Source organism: Homo sapiens, chromosome 11, assembly GCF_000001405.40.
Source record: "Homo sapiens chromosome 11, GRCh38.p14 Primary Assembly".
In the NCBI taxonomy this organism is placed as follows: domain Eukaryota; kingdom Metazoa; phylum Chordata; class Mammalia; order Primates; family Hominidae; genus Homo; species Homo sapiens.
This window is the reverse complement of record NC_000011.10, coordinates 100845856-100859918: the sequence shown is the minus strand read 5'-3', so window position 1 is coordinate 100859918 and position 14063 is coordinate 100845856. Positions and strand designations below refer to the sequence as shown.

The following is a 14063-nucleotide window of genomic DNA, read 5'->3' as shown; positions in this document are numbered from 1 at the left end:
TTAGGAACAGAGCTCCTCATAATTTCACCGTGTCTTCAAAATCATTAATTTCCTATAATTTTTGGGAAAGGAAGAACTCATTTATAACATGCTTCTTATCTACTCAGTAGAATAATAACATCTTTTATGTCTAAAAGAAGTCCAGTCTTTGTTAAGTCTCTATGCAAAAAGTTTTAAATGATGTACAAAATCTTTTAAAAGGTCATTCTAATTTCAAAAATGTTAACATCTGAAATTATGTCATCTTTAATTATCAGGAGAATAACTGAAGAATAATAAAATGTAACACTTACTTTTGCTGCACCTATCTGTTCTTTTCGAAATTTCTCAAGTGGTGCAATTAATACATCGTTAGCGTTTTGGATCTGAAATAAAAAATGCACATATATTAAATCTTGCATAATTTCATGCCAACAACATTGAAAAAATGGCTACTTTATCCAATGTATCAAATAGACTGTTTTTGTTTTTGTTTGCATCTATAAAAACAACTTACATGTTATATACAGTTCTTCTACTATATAATTAAGCTGTTTTCGCATATTATTTCCCTTGATCCTAACAACAATGTGAAAAATACGAAAATAAGTACTTGTTGTGGTGAAATCTTAGTTTGAATACTTAAATTTCTTCTTCTAAGACTTAACTAAGAAATAGCACATTGGGTATTAAATTTACAAATACCTATAATTACACTGGTTTAATGTAGCCAGTTCAAGCATCATTTTAAAATTAAACTATATAAAAGCTCTTCCATTTTTCCATTAGAATGGTAGAATTCTACAGCTGCAAAATTAGGCTTATTTTTCCCCCTATTTAGTTAGATTCCTCAAAATGAGGAATTGAGGTTTGCCTGAACATTCTCATAATGTTTCCAACCTGACTAAAATAGTATTTGATTCCATTTCAATAAAAACATATTTTAGCCCCAAATTCCACATTGAGATTTACTTAAACTTTAAAACAAATAAATCTTTTAATATTGATCTGTAAGACTACTACAATGGGAGTGCAAGATATGAAGACAAGCAACTGAATGAAGCAGACAGAAATTTCTAAGGATACCATTATTCTGGAGGGGAATGTTGATTTAAAAAACAGCCTTTAGAAAGCATTAAAATAAAGAGGAGGCCCAGTTTACAAAATTTGTAATTTGTTCTACCACTATGACAACTGAACATAATCTATTACATGAATAGCAAATGCCAGGATAAAGAGAGAAAAACTCTTATTTTTAAAATATATTATCCTACTTTAAAATAGGTTAAAAGGTATACAAGTGTTCCATGTACTATTTTTCTAACCTTTTTGTAAGTTTGAAATTATATCAAAATATGTGCATTTCAATAAAAGTGTCACTTTCCTTATTTTCATCAAACTGGTTTATCTCTAGTCAAGTTTAATTTCTTAAAGTCCATAATACACAAATGCACACAGATAATATACAAAAATAAAAACTAGAGTGTTGACACCACCATCCATGATCCTGTTAATCCTCGATTTGCAGAAAAATGAGAATGACAGATCTTGAAAAGAAGACCAAAATCCTATGCTGTGAAAGCATAGAAAGTGGACTAATACTCAAAAAATCTTGTCTCAGACAATGAGGGCCAACTGGAGATACCACTGGCATCCATCACCTAATCCCCATTTCTGAGCTCAGACAGACATACCTCCAGATAGACTGTGCAGGCGTCCTACTGCGCAGAGATTATTGGAAATAGTAGTAAAATAGCTCACTTTTAATTCTCTCTCTAAAACCTCTATGCCCTCATTAAAACCCTAATTACATAAACACACACACACACACACACACACACACACACACACACCCCTATCCAGATTGTACAGATGCGACACATAGCTGACTTCACCTTTAAAGTTAAGTTTGCATAAGGGGAAAGACAGTATCATAAGTACTTTAGTGTAACTTGGAGTAATAGCAACAATAAAGCCTACTATTTATTGAATGTTTACTTTATGCTGGAAATTGCAATAAGTCCTTCACAAGCATGAGCTAATGTATTTAAAGCCAGCTAAATGGCTGGGAGAGAAATTCAAATCTGAAGTGATAAGGAACGAGGACGGGTTTCTGTAGTATTGACAGATGCATAGCAGGAATTCCAGAGACAGTTCTATGGAAGACACAAAGGGACTCAATGACAAATTGCGTAGAGGGAGAAAGAGAGAGGAATCAATGGAAAAACTAAGGTTTTGGCCTCAGCCACTGGAACTTTAGTAACGTATCAGAATTGGGGCAAATGAGGTAGGGAGTATGCATGGTAGAAAAAGAACAAAGGCAATGATTAATTTCACTTTGGTCCAGTTACATCTGATGTCATGGAAAGACTCAAAGAAATATTATGTCAGAAATCCCATCTCACATTGGCAGAACTAATAAATATGAATGGATGTTTTTTATTGGGAAGGAAAGGATTGTGAAAGGGAGTAGATGGGCTGATGTCATATCCTAAGACCTTGGCACTCACATTCACATCCAATGGTTTACATCTACCCCTTCTCTCACTGTTACATACATATGACCTCAGAATAAAGCAAAAGCCAGATGATATAACAAAACAGAATAATTAACAGCCACCCTGTGGCCTAAGTATAATTTCCTATCTCTATTTCTTCCACATTTCTTGGGTTATTTTTCCTTTGTTTTGGGATTTGCTTTAATTTTTTTTTCTTCTTCTCCCGTTCTATTAATGTTAAACCGAAGGAAGAAATAAATAAGTGGCAAAGGTATTAAACAGAAAAAAAAGAAGGGTGTGAAAACATCCAACACTGTGATAAAGAAGAACAGAAATGATTTCTTGAGTGTTTCTAATGCGTCAAATACTACATTAAGGTCTTCACAATATAGAGATCAAAGTCAATATTTTATGGGTAATGAAGTCAAACATATAAAAAATGATCTGGAATGTATTAAAAACATGAATGTTGAAGACAGATTCAGCTTCATTTGAATCTAAGTGCCAAAACTGACAACACACAGTGTTTCATCCCTGTACTTCTTAAGGTTTTTATAAAAAATTAAAAGCAAAATAAATTATTTTGAAAAAAATCACTAGCATAGATTTGGCACATGGAAGGCTCTCAAAAAATGTTAACTTCCTCAAAGAATTAATTGAATGTCTACTCTGTATTCATAACTGTCCTAAGCAGTCTTATAGTTTCCCCCAAATGATTTAAAATGTAGTTATTCAAAGCTAGAAATTGAAATCCAGATTAATAACAGAACTTATCCAGAGGCCTAGCAGTAGTAGATAACCCTACATTTTTCCATAAACCATTATAACAAATGCCTGGCTCTACCTCTGAAAAATGTTATCACTTTTGTGTGCAGTCAGTGGCTGCTGTTCACAATATGTAAATTTAAATTCAAGAGATCAAAATGGAAAATGCCAGCACTCAAAGGGCACTAAGTGGATTTACAAACCAATTTGGCTGCTTGTGAGCCTCATCTTTATACATTCCCCCTGGGAATACATGACTTTTATCCCTACACAGTGGTCACTCATATGGATTAAACTCTCCAATTCTAAAGCAATCCAAGTGTGAAGTCAAGAAGGTGTTAAAATTTTGGTAGGATTAAAAGAGTTACTGTTGCTACTGCATAAGAAAGGAAAATGTCATATAAAGGGTAGGAAACCCTTATTTAAAATGTGAATTAGAGTACAACGATGGTGACAAACCTTGCAAAGTTAAAAAATAAATGTAGAGAAATGCAATTTTTGCTCATATGGAACTCTTTCATCCGGATTCACAAAACAGGCTTGATGAAATTCCTTCCAAAAGGGTAATACTTGGGGGAAAAATCAAGTCAGAGTTCAGGAGATTCAGGATCCCACAGTATCTGTGGAATGTGCAACTTTGCATGACTTTACTAAGATGCTTTAGAAAAAATACAAAATCAATTTTAAGACTCTCCCTAAATATTGATAAGATAAATTATTGAAGATACCTTATTATGGTAATTAAGAAACAATTAACTTATAATTACTAGCCATTACCTAAACCTTGGCTTTGAACAACTTATTTTTATAGATATTGGTTTACATTTAAAGTAAAAAACAATTACTGGTGATTTCACTTATTTTCAGTAGAAGAAAAGCAAATCTGATATTTGGTAATACTTTACAATATAGCATTTACCATGCATTTTACTGTGGGTAGGTTATTTAAGTCAGGCAATTAAGTTTCCTGTCACTTTCTTTTGCTATTTCAAGTGGTTCTAATAAATAGCCACAAGGGGGTGCACATAAATCATTCAAAAGTAATGGCTAGAAACGCTTTTATGTGGTTTGAAGAATGATTCTCCAAATATGTTTGGATTTCCTTTTTTTCCCCCACATAATCATGAATTATAATTTTCTATGGATCATGCATTTTCAAGTGCTATCTGATAGGAATTTTCAGTGCTTGCTTTTCACTGCTGATAATCTTGCCACACTTATTCATTAAAAAAAGTAGCAATGGAATAAAATAAATCTGAAAGGTATGTCTCTTAACAATTTTATTTTTACACTACTTCCCTTTCCAGGTTTTGATTAAAATCCAGTGATGTTGGTGCCAGTCACAGCTCATCACTAATTAATGACTATATGTCCCATTATCTTGCAACTCATTAGCTAACACATCCGAATGTCAGAAAAATTACAATTCCTTACCTCTCATTTTCAAAGCAATAAAACACTCAGTTTTGATGCAAAGATTTAGTTATATATTCTCAAGTACTATTTAAAGCAATACTTCTGATATTCTAAAGTACTATTTAAAGCAATTGCTTAAGGCTATAATACGCTACACTATTTACAACAAAAAACATAAATGGTACAGTTCATTGCAAAAATAATTTCCTGTTGAGATGTCAATATAAACAATCAATACAAAGTGGAAAGACCACAAAGGTAGGTAATAATAAGTGAAATGATCATAATCGATGCAGAAGCTATCTACACCGTCTTCGACGTAAAAGAATGGGTTATTTTCCCATTCATATTTGCAACTGAATCACATCACAGCTGAAAATCACATCACAGTTCTAATTTGTGATTGATTACAAGCAAGCATCTCTTCTCTGCCTTGTCCCAAACTGTATCTAGTTCTTCCTTCCTCAATAGCTTCTTAGAAAGAAGTTCTGGCAAGGGGTGGGGAACTGGGGTGCTAGCCTGGGGTTCACTCCCTGGTACTGGCCAATTTAACTCTCTATAGCTACATAATATAGACATTCTTCTCTAGGTCAGCAAATCCACAGCACCACTAAACTAGATCTCAATGGCCAAAACTCACACGAGGTATAGAGGATGGATACACGAGCACGTCTTGCATTAATAAGTAATCAGAAGTCAAGGACTGAATACATTTTACTTCATACACTTTAATGTGAGCAAACGACTGAAAAAAACATATTGTCATCTAAAAACAAATGCTATGTAAGGCTATCTGGATACTAGTCATTCAATTAATTCTGACTTGAACATCACTTGCTGCTTCAGCATTTGAATGTTTTGGATCTACTTAGTGACAGAGTTCCACTATGAATCCCACCCCATTGGACCTCATCAGTTAGATCTAACTCTTACTTGAATTTAATATAACTTTCATCTTTCTCCATTTTTACCAGCAATAATACTTTTCCTATGGAAATATATTGGGAAAATTAATTTAAGTTTCTGGAGAATTGTGCTATATGAATAGCCTCTTCTTTTTCAGAAGATAAGCAGAAGCAATACACTCTCAGGAGAATACTCCCATTTATTTTTAATTAATTGGCCTAACCATGACAACTATGCAATCTTGATCGAGTTACTCAAACTAAGTTTTCTTTTCTATATAATAAAGATGATAATATGTCCTTATCTCATGACCTGCTTATAAAGCTTAAATTTTTTACTTTATGTCTAATGATCATAAAAACTTATTAATAAAGCATTAATTGCCCATTAAATTCTTTCTTTTGAGTAGGCCAATTGCAGTGCTCTAGATTTTTTTTTTTCAATGAATTAGGAAGCTGCTATTGGAGTTTTAGTATAAGAGTGAAATCTCACTAGCACATACTTGATGTCAAAGCTTATTAACTGTAGAAGAGCAGTTAATAGGGGTAAAATGGCAAGCAATCCTCTCTACTTCTAGAGTTTATAACTACTGCTGAATGTATAAATCAAATTAAAGTTTGCTATTTTTTAAATAAAACCATCTATACTCATAAGGTGGAGGAATGGAAAACCATTCAACCAAGAAGGAATTGACCATTTTCACAGAATCTAGCAGAGGAAGTGGGAGAGGAGAGTAGATTGTAAAATTTCATATAATCCACTGTGATGTAATTAACATCATAACTCTAGGTGGTAACAAATGAAACTATTTGTGTACTAAGTTATTTGAACCACAAAGGTAGGTTATTTATTGTATCCTTCTTCTTGTTCTGAAACTACTTTTGTTTTATTCCTTTCTACCCAGCAATCTCTAATGGGGGATTAAAGTAAGAACACTTTTTAAACATTTAAGCATTGTGGAAACATTTTCAAATACCAGACTTAACCATAGCATATTGCCTCCCCACTTATCTACTTATCACCAGCCTGATTACTGCTTTTTCATTTATAACCCTTTAATATTGGAGGCTAAAAACAGTCAGAAAACAAAGTCAAACTTCTTTTCAACTATAAATATCAAGATATGTGAAAGGTCAAATTAGGATTGACATCTTAAAAGCTGCTTAAAATAATTACTCCAAATGACCTGCATATACATTCACTTTTAAAAAAATACTTTTTTGATTTTGACCAAAATGTATGCATTTAAGAAAGCAATTTTATAGAATTTTTTAAAAGACTATATTAACTCAAAGGTCACACAGGGAAGATATTTAAATTATGTCATTCAGAACCTGTATTCTCAGAGAGAGATTTAAGAAATGTTGCACCCTGAAGTTGTTTCATTCCAACAGGTTAAATACTCGCTCCTGCATTTGACTAGGTAAAAATGTTCTTCGGGGATACTGGTAAGGTTACTTCAGCCAGTCCTCTACCTTTGCACATTCTAAGGAAACACCAGGGTCTGCTGAACTTTGTACCTCTGGTGGCACAATTAGACCACTCCAGTGATGTTCCTATGTTTGTTAGTACTATAGAAGATGGCCAAAAATATTCCTGTAACACAGTTGCCCCATTTATGTCAATATCCTCATGTTCATGAAAATACACCTCCTCCCATTCTCCCACCTCAAAAATCAGAGACACTGTACATCCCAAGCTGAGCTAATTAGGGCCTCAAAAATATTTCTTTTTACATGTTCTAACCCCTAACTTAGAGTGGGGGAAAGTGGCTTTGTGTATGGGAGCAAGGGGAGGGAGCTTCAGCAAAGTGATAATTTATATCACTCCCTTCCTCCCGCTTAATGCTATTTCTTCTGGCTAATTTTGCTCTATTCTTCTTGGTATTCCCTACTAAGTATCTTTGGGTTGAAAAAATAAAATCATTCATCTGTTATAAATTATTCATTCGTGAATTTAAGCAAACTTCTGATAGCCTTTGCAAGTTTAAAAGCAAATAAAATGCATTAAATAAATTCCCAGTCATATTTTATAGCAATTGCATTTTAGTAGCTGAACGTTAATATAATTTAATCATAATTGTTCAGTATTTAGATAATAGCAGATTGCTAAAAGTTTAAGAAAAATGGAAGATATCCCAATATATATGCAATTTCTTAAATTACTTATTGTAGTTGTGCATTAATGGGGGAGAATGGGAATAAAGAGGAGGACAGGAGAGAAGAGGGAAAGAAGGAAGGAACTATGCAGGATACAGATGTACATAAATAAAGCAGAGAATGATCTAACTAATACAGGGAGAAATTAAGGAAAATTAGGTCTGGGGCCAGCAGTGTGTTAAAGCAGGCTCATAGTGGCTCACAGAACCTTTGTGCTCATCTCTTCCCAACCTGCACTGGGTAAGTGACCTTGTGTTGAAATCAGCCAAGGTGGGAGGATTTACTCAGTGAAGATCAGCAAGCACTACCAATCAGATTTCTCACACATACATAGGCACATGTATGCATGCATGTGCATACAACATGCACCTGAGTGCCAGTGGTTAACTTTTTACCAACATACCACTGCCTGGAGCCAAATACGTAATTACGCATTGCTTAACAATGGGCATGTGTTCTGAGAAATGGATCGTTAGGCGATTTTGTCATCGTGCAAACATTGTATACATGGAATGCCTTCTGAAGAACATGCCTGAGACTGTTTTATGGTTAACTTCATTATAAGTAGAAGTATACACTCTAAAATAATGATCAAAAGTATAGTAATACATAAACCAATAACAAAGGTGTTCATTATCATGATCAAGTGCTACGTATTACACACAATTCTATGTGCCATACTTCCACAGATGGGCAGCACAGATTTGTTTGCACTGGCATCACCAGAAACACGTAATGTATTGCACTATGATGTTAAGGCAGCTATGATGTCATTAGGCGATAGGAATTGTTTAGCTCCATTATAATCTTATGGGATCAATATCATGTATGTGACTCATTGCTGACTGAAATGTTATGAATACATGACTAAATATAAATGGCATGCACCATGAATGCTGTTGCTCTTGTTAGCAAATAATGTTTATAGCTAACATTTTGTGATCATTCATTCAGTGTTCAGGTTCATCCCTAGAATCTTTCACAGTCTAGCACCATAGAAAGCTACTATCTCCTGGCCAGGCGCAGTGGCTCACACCTGTAATCCCAGCACTTTCGGAGGCCGAGGTGGGTGGATCACCTGAGGTCAGGAGTTTAAGACCAGCCTGGCCAACATGGTAAAACCCCGTCTCTACTAACAATATGAAAATTAGCCAGGCATGGTGGCACACGTCTGTAATCCAAGCTACTTGGGAGACTGAGGCATAAGAATCATTTGAACCTGGGTGGCGGAGGTTGCTGTGAGCTGAGATCCTGCCACTGCACTCAAGCCTGAGTGACAGAGCGAGACTCCATCTCAAAAAAAAAAAAAAAAAAAAAAAAAAGAAAGCTACTATCTCCCAGATAGACTTGTGAAGCTAAAACTGTCACCAGTGCTAGAGTAGAAGTTTGTGCCAATGTTGTTAGGGAAACTCAGAAACCAGAAAGCCTTACATGTGTAAAATTAAGTTTAAGTATAAAGAAGTACAAATGAATTTAATCTTTTCAATATTGGAAAAGACATATTTAATTGGAAATGTTATAGGTTAACAGATACATGTTTAAAAGACATGCTTTAATAACTAGATAAAAGAGATCTTGTATAGTTAGCACTCTTTACCACTATTTGTTGTTTAATATAGGTGTTTTTTGAATAAATACATAACACATAACAGCCACATTATGACCACAACACGGTATATATGGTCAACAAGACTGCATATACTACAGAGGTCCCATAAGATTATAATGGAGCTGAAGAATTCCTGTCACCTAGTGATGTCATAGCTGTTGTGACATTGCAGTACAACACATTACCTTTTCTGTGTTTAATATGTTTAGATACACAGATGCTTACCATTGTGTTACAATCACCTACAGTATTCAGTACAGTGATATCCTGTATAGATCTGTAGCCTAGGAGCCTTAAGTTACAGTGGAACCACGTAGCCTACGTATTATTTTCATATTTTCTAATTTCTATATCTTCAAAAGTAGTTATTTTCCCTATTAAAATCTTTTTTGAAAAGTGATACGCACTGTCTATTGCATCCCCAAACACGGTTTCAGTATTGTGCTGATGCCATGTTTATGTGTGTGATAAAAAGTCAACTTCAGTAGAATAATGATGATTGTTCTTGGCTTATGAAATGCTTACTTGAAATAATATAATGATGAGGTAAGGATCAGCACGGCTACAGTAAGGTTAAGAAGAGATCATTAAAGGAGGAGCATTTCTCATACATAATTCTACCCAATTAAAGTTTGAGAAATGAGAAAAAAGGAATATTCCTTCAGAAACGTAAGCATCATAATATTACCTTTTCCTAGTTCACTTTCCCTGGAACAACACTTACTTGGGATGTTTATGTCACATGCTATCTCGATATAAATAAACACAGGAAACATGGTAATTGGAACTTGTACAGCTAAGAAAAAACAGCACCAGAAGCTAATACACACACACAGTATATCTTTACTATAAACTAGCCCCTTAGTGTCTGTTTGGATGTGAACATTTTAAGGATCTCTGAGAATTAGGGGGAAGAGAAAATAATCTTTTTAAATAAATAATTCCTTGATTGAATAAGCCAGCAAATTTAATCACAGTGTTGTTAAAAATAAAACCAAAAAAAAAATTAACTGAAAGAGAAAACTTTAGAGCTTTAACACAGAATACAAAGTCCATGAATACCCAAAAGTTATCTACGTCCTACAATTTAGCAAACAAGAGATATGATTTATTTTGCAAAGATTTTCTTTCAAACTTTCCCAGGCGTTTGAGCACAGGCTCTTAGTCATAGCTAAGAATTACTTCCCAAATAAGTTCCATATGTTATAACTCTCGGCCCTGGTCTTTTCCAAATCCAGATCTGGTCATAAACTATGGGCCAGTTTTCCACACTGTACAGCTGTCAAAAGCCTTTCTTACCCAAGGAAGTAAAGAGCCTCTTTCAGCCCTTAATGTGAGGTCTTACATCATGTGAAGAATGAGTGATATGTCAATACTAGACAAATTCTCTTTAAAACATATGACAAACAACATTAAAAAAATTACACTTTTCCTTATCTGTGAAAAGCATGTTCCAACAGAAAATACAATCATTTAATAAATCATTAACATCTGACCTCTTTTGGTCTTACCCTTAGGCCATGGCTTGAATTACTTTCAGTTCATAGAATTGGCTATGAGGCTGTTTAAGATTCTTCTCCAGAAAATGAAGCTTAAAAACTACTTTTCTTCCAGACAGCTTGAGACATTTGAGACATTCACACTCTCCTGCACTTATCACGATGCGTACAATCAGATAATAAGGTAAAGCAGAAAGGCTATGCCATGTGCCACCTGAATCATCCTATATAATTATGAAAAACTGCTCGCTTCTCTTTCTTTTGCCTCCTAAAAAATTAAGAGATATCTACTATATTTAGTGGGAAAGAAAAGTTACATTTTGGGAGGCCAAGGTGGGCAGATCACTTGAGGCCAGGAGTTCAAGATCAGCCTGGCCATCATGGTAAAACCCTGTCTCTACTAAAAATAAAAATAAAATAGCCAGGTGTGGTGGTGCACACCTGTAATCCCAGCTACTCGGGAGCCTGAGGCAGGAGAATCACTTGAACCTGGGAGACGGAGGTTGCAGTGAGCCGAGATTGTGCCACTGCACTCCAGCCTGGGTGACAGTACAAGACTCCACCTCAGGAAAAAAAAAAAAGAAAGAAAGAAAAAGAAAAGTTAGCTCCTTAGATGTCCAGTTTACATGAGCAGGAAGATGGTTGCTGGTTGTAAAACTCTCCTTATCTCCATGTTAACCCGGTCCCCAAACACAGAATCCTAACAACAAAACATAATGTCGATAATCACATCCGGTTTGTAACTTTCTGCTTTCAGTAGTGTCCTAACACATTCAAGTATATTAATAGTTAAGGAATATTTTAATTAATCTAAATTACTAATCTGAAAATGTTGGAGGGAAAAATGCACGTTCTCGGATAATTCAGGAATACAGTAAAATTGGAATGTATGTTACAACCATCAAAATTAAAATAGCTTTGCATACTAACATAAAGATACAAAGCTAATGACATAGTGTACCTTACCCCAAAGCTTCCCAATTCCCACTTCATATGTCATCATGAGAGCACCTAGGTGTTATCTTAACAGCCTTTTGACTCAGGTGACCTTTCAAGAATTCTTTTGCAGAGTAAAAGGAGCAAAGACAGACTCAACCAACTTAATCTTACATTTCAAGATAAGAAAACACTCTACACTCCATCCATGGGTCGACTAATGCATTTTCAAGCTTCAAATATCAGGTGAAGTGAACGCTTAATAATGCTTTCTCCAACCCAGATGTTTCTGCCAAGCTTCTTATCTATAAACTGTCCCACTCCCACGGACACCTCAAAAACACACCCTCAATGCAGGTCCCAGGCTTCTCTACTCCACTGATTTATCTCCTCTCAGTGAATGGCACTATATTCAGCCAACTGTCCAGTCACCCTAGACCAAGGCCTCTCCTTCATCTTCTGTGCCCAGTCCAGGGTCTCCCCGCCGCCTTAGCTTGTCTCCAGTCACATCTCTCCAGGTTAAATTAGCAATTACACAGCTCTCAGCCCTGTGTTTCACGACCCACCTATATTTAACGTTCCACACAGCTGCCAGAATGTTCTCTTTAAATGGACAGTATTTCACTCCCCAGCGTTTATCATCTCTCCACAACCTTCAATAGAGAAGGACTTCCTTTAGCCCAGTATCCAAGGGTCCTTAAAGAAAAGGCATCTCCTTACCTCCTAAAAACCTTTTTTGCTGCCATTCCCACGTGAGAAAGCCTTGATTTCTACCATGCGCATGGCAGATGCATTTGACAGTCCTAACTTAAGCACACCTTGAGAATGAGCCTGTATGGCAGATACCCTGAATGTGTGTTCAGAGTTCCAAACTAAGGAATTGAGAGTGGCCAACTGGAGATTCATTACTTATCTATGTGGAACATCTGAACCCTCAGCCCATCCAGTGGAACACAGGCCATTCAGGGGATCGAGGCCTTTGCCTTGGGTTAAATAAAAATTGCCAGGTGGAGGTTGTTAGTGGGAGGGTGTTAAGTGAAAATACTATGTAACCTGCATGCTTTTTACAAGTGGGTTGGTGGTTCTTCTGTTCCATCCCACTGTCACTGGACCACTCCGTATGTAAGTTTCCCACTAATAAAGCCCTGTGTTTTGTGTGCTGGCTCTGGGTCTCTTCTTCAGCTGCTTGAACCTGGTGCCATCCTATTGAAGTTAACAGGGGTCTGGCATGCCACCATGTAACACGACTTATAAATTCTAGCTCCCCCTGGACCTCTTCAATCCTTCTCTCTGTTCCACTTGTTCCCTATCTGAACACCTCTTACTCATTTTTTAAACCTCAGCCAAGTTTTACCTCCTTGCTGAGCCTTCCCTAATATTCCTAGGCTAAGTCTCGAGGCCCTTCTTCAAACTCCCACAGGATATTGATCATATGACTATCACAGCAGATACCAGTACTCTGCAGACCACAGTGTGCACAGTGTGTCTTCCCATCCAGATTATGAGTATTTTTGAGAAAATGCTTACGTCTCCAGCTTTTATTTTTGTATCCCCCAAAGATGAGAGCAGTATCTGAGGCATATAGTTACTAGCCAACAAATATTTATTGATATAAGCTTATTGGTTGGAAGTGGGGGTAGGGTAGGAGGTGGAGAAAGAATATGGAAGACAGGAAGTTAGAGAGTGGAAAATGCCAAAATCAAACTTAAATGATAAAGATGGACAATGTCAGACTTTACATTCCTACAAACTAAACATCATTTTCCTATTCATATATCAGTTTCAGTCTCAAACAATGCTCTATCCATGCATACACTAGCTGAGTGTGAGGTGTTCTGACGAACCATTGAGGAAGAAAAATCAGAAATGCATGGATTCAGTATGAAGATACCCTTTGTCTCTTTTGGAGAAAGAGAAGATTTTAATAGATAGCAAATGAAGACCACCTTCTACTTAAGCATGCCAAGTTTCAGGTCTTTATCACATACAAAAACAAAAGGTTAATTACCTCATTAACTTTTTACTTCTACTTCTAAAAGGTGAATGGATGAGATTAACTTCTGGAACTTTGTTTCTTTGTAAACTCTAGTTACCATTTTGGAAATGAATCTTGAAGAAGCACTGGGGATACAGCAGGGAGAATAGGCATGCTAAATGCTATTTGGCAAAATAACCTATCCCTAGCCATTTATTAGAAATAAATAAGCAATGGCCTGCTGTCTTATCACTGGATGAGGCCTTGTTAGCCTCCGCCAAAAACTCAATTAGGCTGATAAACAATCTTGGAAGAATGAAG

General features: G+C 35.8%; 1 protein-coding gene across 5 annotated transcripts in view, besides 1 other annotated feature; it reads right to left on the bottom strand.

The window, feature by feature from the left end:
* ARHGAP42 (Rho GTPase activating protein 42) overlaps window positions 1–14063 on the bottom strand; it is a 306654-nt gene that overhangs the window by 134023 nt on the left and 158568 nt on the right. For all 5 annotated transcript variants that reach the window (NM_001367945.1, NM_152432.4, XM_011542616.3 and 2 more), the window contains one exon: window positions 294–365. In NM_001367945.1, coding sequence (NP_001354874.1) covers window positions 294–365 — 72 coding nt within the window. The remainder of the gene's footprint in view (window positions 1–293; window positions 366–14063) is intronic.
* Window positions 11947–12241: a silencer, noted in NCBI's record as "tiled region #13718; HepG2 Repressive non-DNase unmatched - State 24:Quies". NCBI's record gives its function as "represses a minimal TATA promoter and a strong SV40 promoter by Sharpr-MPRA in HepG2 cells {active_cell/tissue: HepG2}" and the evidence as "EXISTENCE:reporter gene assay evidence [ECO:0000049][PMID:27701403]".